This window comes from Homo sapiens, chromosome 6, assembly GCF_000001405.40.
Source record: "Homo sapiens chromosome 6, GRCh38.p14 Primary Assembly".
Lineage (NCBI taxonomy): Eukaryota > Metazoa > Chordata > Mammalia > Primates > Hominidae > Homo > Homo sapiens.
The window spans coordinates 129,397,052-129,413,534 of record NC_000006.12 but is presented as its reverse complement, the minus strand read 5'-3'; the positions used below and the strand labels follow the sequence as shown (position 1 = coordinate 129,413,534).

Here is a 16,483-nt window from a genome sequence, read left to right as displayed (position 1 = left end):
TTTATGATCTAGGTTGTGGTCCTTTGTTTGTTTCATGAGTTACTTCATCGAATGGGGCATGTAGAATTAATTATCTAGTTGACATAGAGTTCTATAAGGCCATTAAGTTATCTTGTGTAAGGTACTTTTAAAATCTGTGTCTCTTTGCTTGATCTATCACTTTTTAAGAGAGATATGGTAAAATCATTCCCTATTATATATATGAAAATGTTCTCATTCTGATATATTTATCTTTATTTATCCATAGGCTTTGTTATTATGACCTTGCAGGCTCATAATTTTTTAGTTTTCCTTGTTCCTTTTATTCTATCATGATCACTTTCTTTGTCCTTAATAATTCTTTTAAAAAAATTAAAGTCTTTTTGATTGCTATTAATGGTAGCATACCAGCTTTCTTCTGGTTAGAGTTTGCATAGTGTATCTTATCTCTCATTTTCAGTCTTTCTGTTCCCCTAAGATTTGCAGTATTTGTGTAAGTCATACATAGACGAATCCCTTTGTTTTAGACATTTTAATCCAATATGAAAATCATAGTAACCTGTCAATTTTAATGTTTGCATTTATTATGAAGACAACCTGAAGCAGAGATAGTTAGTGCTCATCAAATATCCTATGTGCCTCCTACTTTTCCAGACCTCCCTTACAGTTAGCTTGGGGCACACGGCTACTTCTGGTCAATGACTCAGACCAGACGTGGTCCAGGCTTCATGAGCCAGTATGGTAGGGGCCTACATGTCTCTTCATTTTTTCTCTTCCCTGCCTTGGAGGCTACACTGTATGGTGTCACTACAAGATGCAAAAGGTGGTATAACTCACATTGTGTTGTGATGTGAGACATAAACTTGAATTATGTCCATCATGTGAGATTTCAGGGGTTATTTCTTGAGGCAGCTGGTGATAATTACCCTGATTGTTGTATATGGATTTAATTCCATTATATTTTATATTTATGATTTGTTTCTCTTTTTCTCTTTTTTTGTCTTTTCCAGAATTGATTGAAAATTCTCCTCCCCTTCACATTTCTTTATTTTTTTCTCTCTCTGTCTGCTTGTTTGGAATGTTTAGCTGTTTGTGATCGTTAATTTATATCCACTTGGCTAGGCTATGGTACTTGGTTTTTGGTAAAACAGCAGTCTAGATGTTGCTGTGAATGTATTTTTTAGATGTGATTAACGTTTCAGTCAGTAGACTTTGAGTAAAGCAGGTCACCCTCCATGATGTTGGGGAACCTCATCCAACAGTCAGAGGCCTTAAGAAGAATTACTGAGGTCCCCTGAAGAAGAAGAAATTCTGCCTCCAAACTGCCTTTGGATTCAAGACGGCAATATTCACCTATTCCCTGCAGCCAGACCCCACAATCTCATGAGTCAATTCTTTAAAATATATAATATATCTGTGTATATATACACTTCCAATTTGTTCTGTTTCTCTGGAGAACTCGAATATTGTCAATTTTATTTTTCCAGATTTTTTTTCAATGTTTAATACATATTCTTAGTGAAAACTAAAGTTAATTAGCTTTTTGCTTTCCTCCCCAGAATTCAAGAATATTAAAAACTTTTATTAAATAACTGACTACCTGCCCCATTTTCCATTTTATTAGTCTCTTGTGTTTTAGTTCCACTTTGTTTTTAATTCCACATATTTAATAATTATTATCATTATGCTTTCCATAATGCTTACTTAGATTTGTACACATTTTCTATCTTTTTGTTCACTTTTGCCCCTTTATATCCAAGTTCTTTCATTTTGTTCACATTCCTTTTGAAGTGAATTTTATTATAGTTCAGTGAATGAAGTGTATTTATAGCAAATGAAGCGTATTTGTAGTAGTTCAGTGCTTCTTATCAGCGTGTTTCCTCCTCACTGATCTGTCACATAAGAGTAAAGTTTCAAAAGTCCTGTTTATTCCTTAGACACCTAACCCCATTGCAAGAAAAAGCTCTTTTTGAGGTTTCTATGGAGTTTTTACTCTCCTTGTATTAGGAATGAACACTGGGAAATTTGCTATAAGAGAAGTTGACATATTTAAGAATATTCTCTTTCTGTATAATGTTATTTTTTCTAGGCTTCTCCCCTTTTCTTCACTTTGTTTAAAGCTTACATCTTGCTTACACAGCACAGTTCTTTACTAACCATCCCACTATCATTTTTTCTATGAGAAATGCATTATATCTGAACTCCCCTCACTTTATTCTGTATTTTATATTATTTTTCCTAGAAATGCCTAAGAAAGGCCTGGTCAACATTTTTTAGAATGATGGTTCCCAAGAAATATGGACAACTGTAGCAAGTAAGAGAACTTGAATTTGGAGAATAAAGAGGAAGACCACATTGTGCACTGGAGTTGAAGGCCAGTGTCATTGTAAATTGTATGTGTCAACTTGACTGGCCATGGGCACCTAAATTAAACATTATTTCCGGGTGTGTCTGTGAGGGTGTTTCTGGATGACAGTAAAAGAGATTGCCCTCCTCAATATTGCTGTGCATCACCCAATCTCTTGAGGGCTGAATAGAACAAAAAGCAAAGAAAGGAGGAATTCCTTCCCTTCTTTTCTGCCTTACAGATTGAGCTGGGACATCTCATCTCATTTTCTCTCTAGTTCTTGAACTGTGGTTTGTACCATCAGCTCCCGTGATTCTCTGGCCTTTGGACTCAAAGTGAACTATATCATGGATCTGCAGCTCACAGATACTGGGACTTTGCAGCCTCCATAATCACGTAAGCCAATTCTTCATAATAAATCTCTTATTCTTTCTGTCTATCATCTAATCTATTATCTATCTATCTATCTATCTATCTATCTATCTATCTATCTAATCTGTCTATCATCCATCTATCATCTACCAGCCTATTATCCACCTATCCATCCATTCATCTATCTGTCATCTATCAATCAATGTATCTATCTATCTATCCATCTCCTAATAGTTCTGTTTATTTGGAGAACCCTAATACAACCAGTATAAACTTTTCCCAATTTCTAATACTTATTTCTAGTGAAGATCTAACTAAACAAATTGAGAAAGGAAATTCAGGATTAGAAGATATTAAGGAACATTGTGAGTGTATGTGTGAGTAAGAGAGACAGAGACAGAGAGAAAGTTTTACAAAATGACAGTCATTGCAAGGTGAAGAAGAGGAACAGAAGAAAGAGGAGAACTCCATTTGCCATGGGAATTAAAAATGTCATTCTTTTTTTTTTTTAATTCAGCATACCTAGAGAGGTTGAGGACTGCCTAAATTTTCTACATCAAAGTTAAACTAGACTATTCCACTGACTTAGAGAAAGGGAGAAAGGGAGGAAAGGAAGGAAAGAAGATAATGTTTCAAAACAGGTGGAGATTATGTGATAATTTTCCATTATCTTGAAGAATCTGAACTATGGAATTCATTCTGCATTAGTCTTATTTTATTTGTTTGTTTGTTGTTTGGATATACCTGATTGAAAAGCACTAAGACATCTAAGACATTTCCAGTGTAAATGGGCAGAGGAGGGCCTCATATCCTCGTGTCACTGAGAGTGTGCTTATTGCCTCTGGTGGTCATTCCAAGGAGTCAACGTCATAGAAAATCTATTCATTCACTGTGATGGTTAATACTGAGTGCCAACTTGATTGTATTGAAGGATGCAAAGCATTGTTCCTGGGTGTGTTAAAATGGGCCCATTTATTGAGTGACCTGAAAGGCTGCCAATTTTAAGTGGGCTCTGCAACAAGTCCAGACTGCTGTGCAAACTGCTCTGCCGATTGGGCCGTATGACCTAGCAGATCCAATAGTCCTTGAGGTGTCAATGGCAGACAGGGATCCTGTTTGAAGCCTTTGGCAGGCTCCCATAGGTGACTCCTAGAGGTGGAAGCCTCTAGGATTTTGGAGCAAGGCCCTGCCATCTTCTGCAGATCACTACTCTCCATTTGAGAGACAACTCTTGGCCTGTTACTGGGCTTTGGTAGAAACTGAATGTTTGACTGTAGGTCATCAAGTCACCATGCAACCTAAACTGCCTTTCATGAACTGGATGCTTTCTGACCCATCTAGCCATAAAGTTGGGCATACACAGCAGCCTTCCATCATCAACTGTAAGTGGTATATACATGATCAGGCTCGAGCCAGTCCTAAAGGCACAAGTCAGTTGCATGAGGAAGTGGCTCAAACGCCCATGGCCTCCACTCCTGCCACCCTGCCTTCTCTCCCCAAGCCTGCACTGATGGCCTCACAGGGAGTTCCCCATGATCAGTTGACAGAGGCAGAGAAGACTAGGGCCTGGTTCACAGATGATTCTGCAAGATATGCAGGTAGCACCCAAAAGTGGACAGCTGCAGCACTACAGCCCCTTTCTAGGACATCCCTGAAGGACAGTAGCAAAGGGAAGTCTTCCCAGGGGGCAGAATTTTGAGCAGGGCACCTGGTTGTGCACTTGCTTGGAAGAAGAAATGGCCAGATGTGTAATTATATACTAATTAATGTGCTGTAGCCAATGGTTTGGCTGGATGGTCAGGGACTTGGAAGAAGCATGATTAAAAAATTGGTGGCAAAGTAATCTGGGGAAGAGGTATGTGGATGGACCTCTCTGAGTGGTCAAAAACTGTGAAGATATTTGTATCCTATGTGAGTGCTCACCAACGGGTGACCTCAGCTGAGGAGGATTTTAATAATCAAGTGGATAGGATGACTCATTCTGTGTACACCACTCAGCCTCTTTCCCCAGCCACCCTGTCATCGCTCAATGGGCTCATGAACAAAGTGGCCATGGTGGCAGGAATGGAGGTTATGCATAGGCTCAGCAACATGGACTGACCTGACTATAGCCACCGCTGAGTGCCCAATTTGCCAGCAGCAGAAACCAACACTGAGCCCTCCGTCTGGCATCCTTCCTCAGGGTGATCAGCCAGCTTCTTGGTGGCAGGTTGATTATATCAGACCTCTTCCATCATGCAAAGGCAGAGGTTTGTCCTCAATGGAATAGGCACTTATTCTGGATATGGATTTGCCCATCCTACGCCCAATGTTTCTGCCAAGAGTACCATCCGTGAACTCCCAGAATGCCTTATTCGCTGTCATGGTATTCCACACAGCATTGCCTCTGAACAAGGCACTCACTTTACAGCTAAAGAAGTGCAGCACTGGGCTCATGCTCATGGAATTCACTGGTCTTATCATGTTTCCCATCATCCTGAAGCAGGTGGATTGATAGAATTGTGGAATGCCCTTTTGAAGTCATAATTACAATGCCAACTAGGTGACAATACTTTGCCGGACTGGGGCAAAGTTCTCCAGAAGGCTGTGTATGCCTTGAATCAGTGTCCAAAATATGGTACTGTTTCTCCCATAGCCAGTGTTCACGTGTCCCAGAATCAAGGGGTGGAAGCGGAAGTGGCACCACTCACCATCACCACTAGTGACCCACTAGCAAAATTTTGCTTCCTGTTCCCACAACATTATGTTCTGCTGGCCTAGACATCTTAGTTCCAGAGGGAAGAATGCTGTCACCAAGGGATACAACAATGATTCCATTAAACTGGAAGTTAAGATTACCACCTGGCCAATTGGGGCCCTCCTACCTCCAAGTCAACAGGCTAAGAAGGGGGTTTCAGTGTTGGCTGGGTAATTGACCCAGAATATCAAGGTGAAATCAGTCTACTATTCCACAATGAAGGCAAGGAAGAGCATGCATGGAATACAGGAGATCCCATAGGGCATCTCTTAATATTACCATCCTCTGTGTTTAAGGTCAATGGGAAACTACAACAACCCAATCCAACCCAATCCAGACAGGACTACAAATGGCACAGGTCCTTCCAGAATAAAGGTTTGGGTCACCCCACCAGGTAAAAAGCCATGACCCGCTGAGGTGCTTGCAGAAGGCAAAGGGAATACATAATGGTTAGTAGAAGAAGGTAGTCATCAATACCAGCTACAACCACGTGGCCAGTTGCAGAAATGAAGACTGTAATTGTCATATATTTCCTCCTTATTCTGTTAAGAATATGTTTGTGCATGTATACACTTGTACTAGGAAAATATCTTCATTTGCTTTCTTTTTCCTTTATCATGTGACATAAAATTTATTGACTTCATATCAGCATTTAAGTGTTGTTAACTTTATGTAATAGCATTTAGGTTAAGGATTAGTGTGCTTCTGATTGTACAAGGGATAGCTGTATTATGTTAGGTATAATTATGATGTTATTATTGTCTTTATTTGGAGATTATGTATGATTTCAGGAGATGTGTATGGGTTCAAGTTGACAAGGGGTGGACTTGTGATGACTAATATTGAGTATCAGCTTGATTGGATTGAACGATGCAAAGTATTGTTCCTGGGTGTCTCTGTGAGGGTGTTGCCAAAGGAGATTAAAATTTGAGTCACTGGACTGGAAGAGGCAGACCCACCCTCAATGTGGGTGGGCACCATCTAATAAGCTGCCAGTGTGGCTAGAATAAAAGCAGGCAGAAGAAAGTGGAAAGAGTAGATCTTCTGACTCTTCCAGCCTTCATCTTTCACCCATGCTGGATACTTCCTGCCCTTGAACATCACACTCCAAGTTCTTCAGCTTTTGGATTCCTGGACTTACACCAGGGGTTTGCCAGGGGCTGTCAGGCCTTTAACCACAGACTGAAGGCTGCACTGTCAGCTTCCCTACTTTTGAGGTTTTGGGACTCGGGCTGGCTTCCCTGCTCCTCAGCTTGCAGATGGCCTATTGTGGGACTTCATCTTGTGATGGCGTGGGTCAATATTCCTTAGTAAACCCCCCTTCTTGTATACATCTATCCTATTAGTTCTGTCCTTCTAGAGAACATTAATACATTCATCAATTTTAAAAATCTGATCTGATAGATAATGTAGGCTTTGAGTTTACTATGACCTGGAAATGTTTTAAAAACATCTAATTCTCTGTTATTTTAGAGTCTCTTATAGGATCAAAGCAACTAAGATGAGAAAAAATTACTGATGTCCATATTCCATTTTTATTCCATTTTATGAGTGACATATCTCCTTTCTGTTTTCCTTGCACCCTCTAGAGAAGTACTAAATGAGATATTTTCTTGGTGATTATATGTAGGAAAACAAATGCTTTATAGTACTTTCCTCACCCGACACCAATAGAAAAATAGCATTTGTTATTTCATGATGTCTAAATTCTTAAAATAACATTTCATTCTGATATTTAAAGAAATTAGTTATGCAAGACAAGTAGCTATTACTCTTTACAAAATAATACTGCAGTACAAACAAATCGTATTAGCTTTCTCCTGCTTATAAAGGATCCACTTCCTTCTCACTCATATTTTCCTTTCAGTGTGATTCTTGATTGTCTATGTGTGTTTATATATAGGAAGACAAGTAAATTTTTAAAAAATCAAAGTTGATTTTAAACATTGTCTTAATTATGCTTGGAGGTTATTTCTATCATTTCTTTGTTTCTTTTCTTATGGTATTTTCAATGCTTTTTTTCTTCTCAAATTGTCTGACCTCCACTTTCTTCATAGTGGTCGTTGGTTGCTCTACTACTTGACCTTTTCCTTTTCTCCTGCAAATGTATAAATTGTTTCTTTGTTTTTCCTTTTAAGTTATTGAAAACATTCTTCCTTCTTTATAGGGCTAGACTCAAAGGAGTAGAGGACTCTTCTGTATTGTTAAGCTTTGAACTCTTCTATACTTAATAATACATTTAATCTCATTCTTCTCTGTTGAGCTATAGCTTTTATATCAGATCTTATATTTATGGGATGTTAGTCCTATCTAGATAATTACTCAACGTAATGCTTTTCAAATATATTTCTTTTCCAGCAAAGTAGAACTATATTATACTGATCTATTAAACTAAAATTTTATTCATTCTGTTCATGAAAAACATTCCAACAAAATTTCTGGGACAGATTGTCTTCTTTTTCTTATCCAATAGTCATTTAATAAATCACTGATTCTCTATAGCACTTATTTTGTAATTTTTCAGACATTTAATTATTTTTAAATGATTGTGGAAAGAGAGAAGGAATAATGATAACAGCAGACATGGTGTAATGCATTACAACTCACCATCACTCTCTGTTTGAGGTTGGTTAGCCTACCATGTATAAGCATGGGTGGTAAGAAGTAAGTGCACACTTCATGTTGGCAAAAAATGATTTTTCCTAAAGGTATTAAATTAGGGTAAAATTAAACACCTCCTTATCATAAAATGTTACAAGAAATTTATAAGGATGAAGCAATTACTACAGCAAATTTTTATTGGTATAAAAGATTATGAACAGGCATAAAAGGTGTCAATTATAATGAAAAAATACACTCATTCATTTATAAGTGCCTACTATTTGCCAGGCACCATTTTAGGTGCTGAAAATAATCATACAATAAAACAGGTGAAATGAAAATGGTGAACTTGAAATTAGGGTCTTTAAAATAGAAAATTATCTAACAGAAGATGGATTAAAATTTAGTTTAGATTTGAAAAGTAGATTCATTCTGAAAGGATAACTGAACATAGAAATGCTTCTGCAATGATCATGCCACTATTTTGAATAAGAAGTCAACAGAACATATGGCATTAGTAGGGCTCACTCAAGAGAAACCAAAAACAGTACAAATTGCTCATAGAATATGATGTTTCATTATGATCACAAAATGAACCTGCTAAGACTGGTTCATTTAGGGGATATCTCTAATATCCCCTAAATCCTAGAAAGTATTTTTGCCCAACACTGAAGCAAAGAAAATATTGATCAGTTTCTTTAACACCACTGCTTATGTGTATTTCACTCACAGTCAAATGTCCAATCAGATTTCTCCCCCAAAAAATTCTCATGTGTTTGGTAGGTTCTATGTGAAACAAAATAAATAAATGATGGTTCTGAACATTTTATTCAGGATGATTCCTATGAGATTTTTTTAACCTGAAATAGTACTACCAACTTACTATCACACAACTCATGTACAAAATGTTGCTTTACATCTAAAGCATAAAGATTTGTCACCATTGAAGGCATTCAAATAATGTGATAGAACTTGGAATGCCCAAACTCTAAAATACTTGTTCCAAATGTATTACGAACAATGATTGTAGCCAAAGGTTAAGAGCTTTTTAATTCAAAAATTCATAAAAATTCATTAATTCATAAACATGGTATAAATTGTTTAGAAGCATATGATCCAGTATGTTTTTATTAAAAAGTGAATTTTATAGCCAAACTTCATATGTAACCAATTTGTGTGTGATTATATACAATGGTTACTTTTTTTTCTTTTTTACTAATGCCATTTGAGATAATGGTGATAAAATTCCCTATCCAGAGTGTTGTCTTTGCCTGTTTTATTTTGTGAGTTGGTAGCACAAACTTGCTTGGTTTCTGAGATAATTTTAAGACCCTAACAGTGGTAGTGGGTGACTGAGAAAAGAGTTCTGCTATAATTATAGCATACCGAGAATTTATTTTAGGCAAATTTTAAAAGAGGTCTTCAAAAATAACCCAAAACAAATATACCAATTTACTGGGATTTTCCAGACTGACTTACATTTGAAAAATTCAAAAAGGTTGACTTCCATTCCCAGCACATGTGCCATTTGTTTCTTACCAGTTTTGTAGCTTCATGTGCAAGATCTTTGGCTTCTTTGGCAACTTTCTCAGCTTCATCAATATAGTCCTTAATATTGCTGTAAGCTTTGAAGGCTGCAGTGGCATTGAAGGAGATGTTTTTAGCCTCATCAAGGATTCTGGTGGGATGATTCAAAAAAGGAATGTCAGGGCACTCAATGGTACTCAAATGAAGAACGTCCTAATTATATGAAATCTGGCTTCCAAATGATCATGGCCAATATATCTATGACAATTCCAAATAATAGTGAAGTATCTACTTATTATATTGTCCTATAGTTTTCTATAACCTAAACTTATATTTCTAATAATTCAGCTATGAAATACTACCAACATATCTTAAATACCCATAGCATCCTCCAAAAGTCTCTGCAACCAGGTGCTCTAGCAGGTGTGTGATATGAGACAATTCTTCACCTTATTTGTGAAGCATGCTGTGAGATTCAGAGCACTTGTACTACATTACTGGAATTAATTTCACAAAATCTTTCTGGGGTAGGTGCACTTCCCAGAAGAGACCAAGTGAATTTCAGAAGGTTAAATGGCCTGTTTCAGGCCAAATGACCAATATGTCCCCAAGTAAGGACTTAGAGCCTGGATCTGATGATACCTAGCTTTGTGTTTCATCTGCCACCCACCCTTCATTATAAAGTGGCAAAAGTTTGACATAAAATAAAATGATAGTTCATATATTGTCCAAGGTCTTCAAACATTAGCATTTTTTCTTTATAACAGTAAGTATTAAGTATGAGAACAAAGCTTTGCATGTGATGTAGATTTATCTGGGCAAATTATTCTTGGGGCTAATAGCACCGCTATTAAATTACGACAATCCCAAAATTGTAGGAAAAGCATATCAGTTATACACAGAAGGCTGTTTGTAAGTCAAATGTATACTTCCCTCTTTACTCTCCCTCCTATGACCTTTGTAATAATCCCAGCTAGAATAAGCTGCTATTTTACAGGAGAAAATGTAATGTCTCCCTGGAGCTTAAAAGAGGAAAAATAAAAAAGACTTAAAGACTACGTATGGGGCCAAATTTTCAAAAGCCATCCTTTTAACAATAAATTGTTTTGATTCCATTAGAAACATGAAACTGAAATTTGAAACAGAATGTATTTTCATATATGTTATTTAAAATGCTAATAAGGCAACCACTGTGCTTTTTAATAAAGAACAGAAAATAATTTTTTCTAAGTGTAGCCTAGGGCTATGTTCACTTCCTACTAAGCCATATTTGAGTCTACTTGTAAATCAGACTTTTGATGCTGCTGTAGCAAAGCTTTGCCCAGACCCTCCTAATTAAGCCTATCCACAGAAAGGCCATATAGCTAGTGTGTTCATAATTAACAGAAATCAGGATTTGAAAATGATTCTCTACTATTTATGCTAGTCAAAACCTTTGGACAAGCATCAAAATACACAAACATTTCCAAAAACAAATGACATACCCATCAAGGACAGCAGATGAGTCATTCAACTGAGCTGCGTGGCTCTCAGCCTGGGACACCTTCTCAGCAAGCTTCCTGTCCTTTATTTCTTGGGAGAGGTCATCTATTTTATCATTAAGCTCCTCAGACATAGGTGGCAATTTAGTTTGGATGTCTTCAACATACTGATATGTAGAGAAGAGGGCATTTTAAGCAAGTGAATTCAAGCCTCCTCTCTTTTACTAATTTCTCTATGAGACATAACTACACGTTTAGTTTAGTTTTTTTTTTTTTTTTTTTGAGACAGAGTCTTGCTCTGTCACCCAGGCTGGAATGCAGTGGTGCGATCTCAGCTCACTGCAACCTCTGCCTCCCTGGTTCAAGCAATTCTCCTGCCTCAGCCTCCTGAGTAGCTGGGATTACAGGTGCCCACCACCACACCCAGCTAATTTTTTGAATATTTAATAGAGACGGGGTTTCGCCATGTTGCCCAGGCTGGTTTTGAACTCCCGAGCTCAGGCAGTCTGCCCACCTCGGCCTCCCAAAGTGCTGGGATTACAGGCATGAGCCACCGTGCCTGGCCCACATGTTTAGTTTTAAAATGAAACTTCAAACTTACTAACATAGCAAAAAGAATAGAGAATTAAAGTCATTATTTAATGGAATAGACTAGGAAATTTAAGAAACCAACTTAGACCAAGAAAAGCCTATCTATTTAAACAATGCCACTTCATAGGTATACATGTCATTAGGATCTCTTAGGCCATTTGCATTTCTATGACCACATATCACTCTATGTAATGCATTAGACATTACATGTTAAAAGCCTGTTTGTAAATTTACATTTGTCTTTTAACTAATGTTATATAAATATTGAAGCAGATTGTAAGTGCTGCTCTAGGAACAAGAAATGTCCTTCATCGCTGTGGACAAAAACAGATATGTGTGAATGTGTGAGTACACTTACACAAACACTCATGTCCATTGGGAGAACAAAGTGATATTCCAGTTGTCACCAATAGATAGGCATGGTCACAGTAGAATAATGCAAAAATAATTTTATCTCCACAAGAAAACAAGTACTAGTATTTGCTTCTATTACTGAGCTTTCTCATCGGCTCCCATTTATTCATTATCATCTCTCTTTTGAGTTTTACCCAATACTCACGTCTATGATGGAGTTGATTTCATCTGCAAGACGGTTGGCTTCATCGAGTATGTCATTGCCCTCTTTTAAAGTGTTCTCAATTTGTCGTTTGCCGCTTTCAACAGCCTCCTTCTTTTTCTGTAGACCATTATGAACAAGACATCAAAATTGCATTTTCATAAAATCCTACCCCTTGTATTCCTGACTTTCCTGAGCTGTTTGAATAAAAGCTTAGCAAAAAAGGTACATCATGTTGAAATGTGGCTAGATGAGAAAAATATAAACTACTTAGCCAGTCCTTGAAGAGTTCTTCTATGTAGAGGCTTGTACAGGTTATTTCTTCTTCTCATTGTGAGAAAGTCATCCAAGCGAAGAAAAGTTATGCGATACTAGTTAAGGAATTAAAACTACTTTTAAAGAAAGATGGAGCATCCATTTCTAACTAAAATATAAGTGCTGAATAGTTATATTGGTACTACATATTGAATTCTAGAATCTATATACAAATGAGTACTTTGTGAGCATAAACATAAGCAGATGTATTCAATGGGAGTTCTGTGAAATTTGAAGTGAGATTTTTAAGGAAACTTAGGGAAAATACTTTTTAAGAAATAGAGAAACCATCACATGGAAGAATCAACCTAATGGACTGTTTCATGAGAGAATAGATTATAATTTTTCTTTGGAACATATAGCTTGTCTCAAAAGTACATGAAACTCAATCCTGGCCTAGAAGAGTAAAATCAGTGAGAGACAAATATTGCTATTTCTCCATTTGGGGTCTATTTTTTACTTATTTTATTCTTTATACTTCTGATTCATTCCTATTCCTGAAATCACCATTCTACCTACAGATTTAACTGCATCAATTATAATTTTAAGCTTTGACCACTTATAGTTTTTTTCTATAGACAATAATGCTAATTCATTTAGATCTCAATATGTGCCAGACAGTTTGTAAGCATTTTGTTATTCCAATCTTTGGATCCCATGTTGATCACTTTTTACATAAGTGGGAAATTGAATAAGTAAAGGGCAGTGGCCTGAATGTCTGTGTCCCCTGAAAATTCATATGTTGAAATCCTAATCCTCAAGGTGATAGGATTAGGAAGTGGGGCCTTTGGAGGTGACCAGGTCATGAAGCAGAGACTTCATAAACGGGATTACTGCCCTTATAAAAAAGACCTGAAGGAGCTTGTTCATCCTTTTACCATGTGAGGACACAGTGAAAACGGTGTCTATGAACCAGAAAGTGGTCCCTCATCAGACACCAAATCTGCCAATACTTTGATCATGGATTTCCCAGCCTCCAGAACCATAAGAAATAAGTTTTGATTGCATATAAGCCACTCAGTTTTTGGTCTCTTGCTATAGCAGCTCAGATGAACTAAGATATTAAATGATTCCTTTAAGGTCACATAGTACAGTGTGATTAAGATTTAAACCCCTGTCTACTTAATGATAGATCCTGGGTCCTTGACTACGAAAATACTATCTCTTCTATTATAGAAATCACAGTTTTAAAATTTGCACTGAGCTAGTGCTAATTTCATACCCTTCTTTCCTTCCCTTCACCGACCAATTCAGTATGTTGCCAGGTACATACAACTAGTTCCTGCCTCTAAGCCTTTGCACTTGCAGATATTCCCACTATGTGCTCTTCCTACTCTTTGGCTTGTGTCCTCCCTCCATTCTGGTAATAGCCACTCCTCTGATTACCTATCTAAAATAGCACCTATCCTTGTCTCAATCATTCTCTATGTACTAGGGCACAGTGATTAAAAGCTACATCCAAGTGACAGCCCTTCTGGTTTGGGATCACAGCTCTGCTCACTCCCAAGCTATGAAACCTTAAGGAAGTAATTTACCTTCATACAAAATGTTTAGTCCCTCCCTACTCAATGTGCAGCCCATTCACCAGCAGCATCAGCGTCACCTGGAAGCTCATTAGAAATGCATAATCTCAATCCATTCCTGGGAACTACTGACTCAGAATCTGCACTTTAACAAGAACCCCACATGATTGATAGACATTGTAAAATTGGAGAAGAATTAGCTTAGAACACTGCCTGGCACCCAGTAACACTGTAATTTTAACTATTATAATTACCTTATTTTGTTCTTCTTAGAACCCATTTATCTGAATTATATTCTACAGAGTGGTAGAAACATAGACAATATTATTTTCTTTTTTATATAGATTGATTCGTCTTGATTACTTTTGCCGGGAGTTGCTAAAAACAAAGATTAGGTAATAAAAATCAGAAATACCAATGCATCACAGATACATGTACAGGGACTAGCAGAAAGGCACAGCCTGTTGAACTACACATTGTTAATGAAGGACAACACATTGAATCTATTATGCAATATCATGCAACATACCATTTATTACATATCAGTAAACAACTTATGTTTATCAGCCCGTGCATCCAGACTTTATGGTCGTAGCTTATGCTTATTTATTGACTTAGTGACTGTCTCCTGCACTGTAACACAAATTCCATAAAGACAGTTTTATATATCACTATCTCTAGTATGTAGATGAGTTTCCTCAATAAATATTTTTTAATAAATAAATAAAAATGGGTCAGGCACGGTGGCTCATGCCTGTTATCCCAGCACTTTGGGAGGCCAAGGCAGGTGGATCACCTGAGGTCAGGAGTCCGAGACCAGCCTGGCCAACATGGTGAAACCTCGTCTCTACTAAAAATACAAAATTAGCTGGGTGTGGTGGTGCATGCCTGTAATCTCAGCTACTTGGGAGGCTGAGGCAGGAGAATCACTTGACCTGAGAGGTGGAGGTTAAAGTGAGCCAAGATTGCACCATTGCAATCCAGCCTGGGTGACAAGAGCGAAACTCTGTCTCAAAAAAAAAAAAAAAAAAAAGAAAAGAAAAGAAAGAAAAAAGAAAATGAAGTCCATTCCTGGGACTTGTGCTGCTGACACTTGGCTCATTCAGCTACTCCCATCACTAATTCAGGGGAAGTTTTGATATGTCATTCACTCTTCACAGACAACAAATGTGGGAAGAGTCCCAATGTCCCTGATTACAATCTCCCTGATTACAAGTCATATCTTATCTTCCAAGGGTCTAACATTCTTTTACACAACTGCCAATTTTAGCCCTTAGCTTTTGTATGAGCTGACTTAAAGTATAGCATGTACAGAAACACAAGAATCTTTTACAACATGGCTTGTTTGAATTAATGGATCAAGGTAATTTAAAATGCTGTGCCACTGGAAACAGGGAAGATATTTCCACACGTGTGTTAATTGAAGAGCTATATATATTTTGATTTCAATAAAGTAGTGAGTTAGAATCTTTTGTAAAAGCAAAGATCAAAATGTGCTTCTTAGCATACTCAATCAGAAATGATGATCAAGAGGTTAAATAATTTTTTTTTTTTTTTTTTTTTTTTTCTGAGACGGAGTCTCACTCTGTCGCCCAGGCTGGAGTGCAGTGGAGCAATCTTGGCTCACTGCAAGCTCTGCCTCCCAGGTTCACACCATTCTCCTGCCTCAGCCTCCCGAGTAGGGACTGCAGGTGCCTGCCACCACGCCTGGCTAATTTTTTTTATTTTTGTATTTTTTTTTAATTTTCATTTTCAGTAGAGATGGGGTTTCACCATGTTAGCCAGGATGGTCTCGATCTCCTGACCTCATGATCCTCCTGCCTCAGCCTCCCAGAGTGCTGGGATGAGGTTAAATAAATTTTAGAGGTGTCTTGTTTTCAGATTAGATACTGATGGGTTCTAGCTTTGAACCGAGAAAAGATGGAAATTTGGAGCTCACAAATATTGACAAAAGTATAGAGTATCTGGGTTTGTTCTATGGCACTTTATTTATTCACGGAAAACAATCTGTTTTGCCTTTGCTAGATACTGTTCTAGGATTGGGGGATGTGAGGAAGAACACATGTTCCTCATGGCTTGTGTGGAGGAGAGATAAAATGAATGAGTAAATTAATGTATAATATATTCTTAAAGAAAGATTAGATGAGTACAATAAAAACAAAGAGAGGCACAGATAGAAAATGATGTAGCATATAAAATACCTAAGATAGGAAACTTAGAGTATTTAAGAAACAGAAAGAAGGCCTATGTATAGGGAGAATTATTCTACAAAAAGTATGGCATAAGTATAATTGCTCAATTATTGTTTGGATATGAAGGTTGATTATATTTCTACTTTTAACTTGTAATTAATTAGATCTTTATTTATTCCAGAGCTTTGCAAATTGGACACTTTCTTTTTCTTTCTTTCTTTTTTTTTGGTGTGTTGGTGTGGTAGATTCTTCAGGAACCTGC

The 16,483-nt window shown here is 37.3% G+C and overlaps 1 protein-coding gene across 2 annotated transcripts in view; it reads right to left on the bottom strand.

Annotated features, from left to right (window-relative positions):
• LAMA2 (laminin subunit alpha 2) overlaps positions 1–16,483 on the bottom strand; it is a 633,429-nt gene that overhangs the window by 103,032 nt on the left and 513,914 nt on the right. For both annotated transcript variants that reach the window (NM_000426.4, NM_001079823.2), the window contains exons 38-40: positions 12,195–12,311; positions 11,048–11,211; positions 9,576–9,714 (exon numbers count right to left, since the gene is read on the bottom strand). In NM_000426.4, the coding sequence (NP_000417.3) occupies positions 9,576–9,714; positions 11,048–11,211; positions 12,195–12,311 (420 nt within the window). The remainder of the gene's footprint in view (positions 1–9,575; positions 9,715–11,047; positions 11,212–12,194; positions 12,312–16,483) is intronic.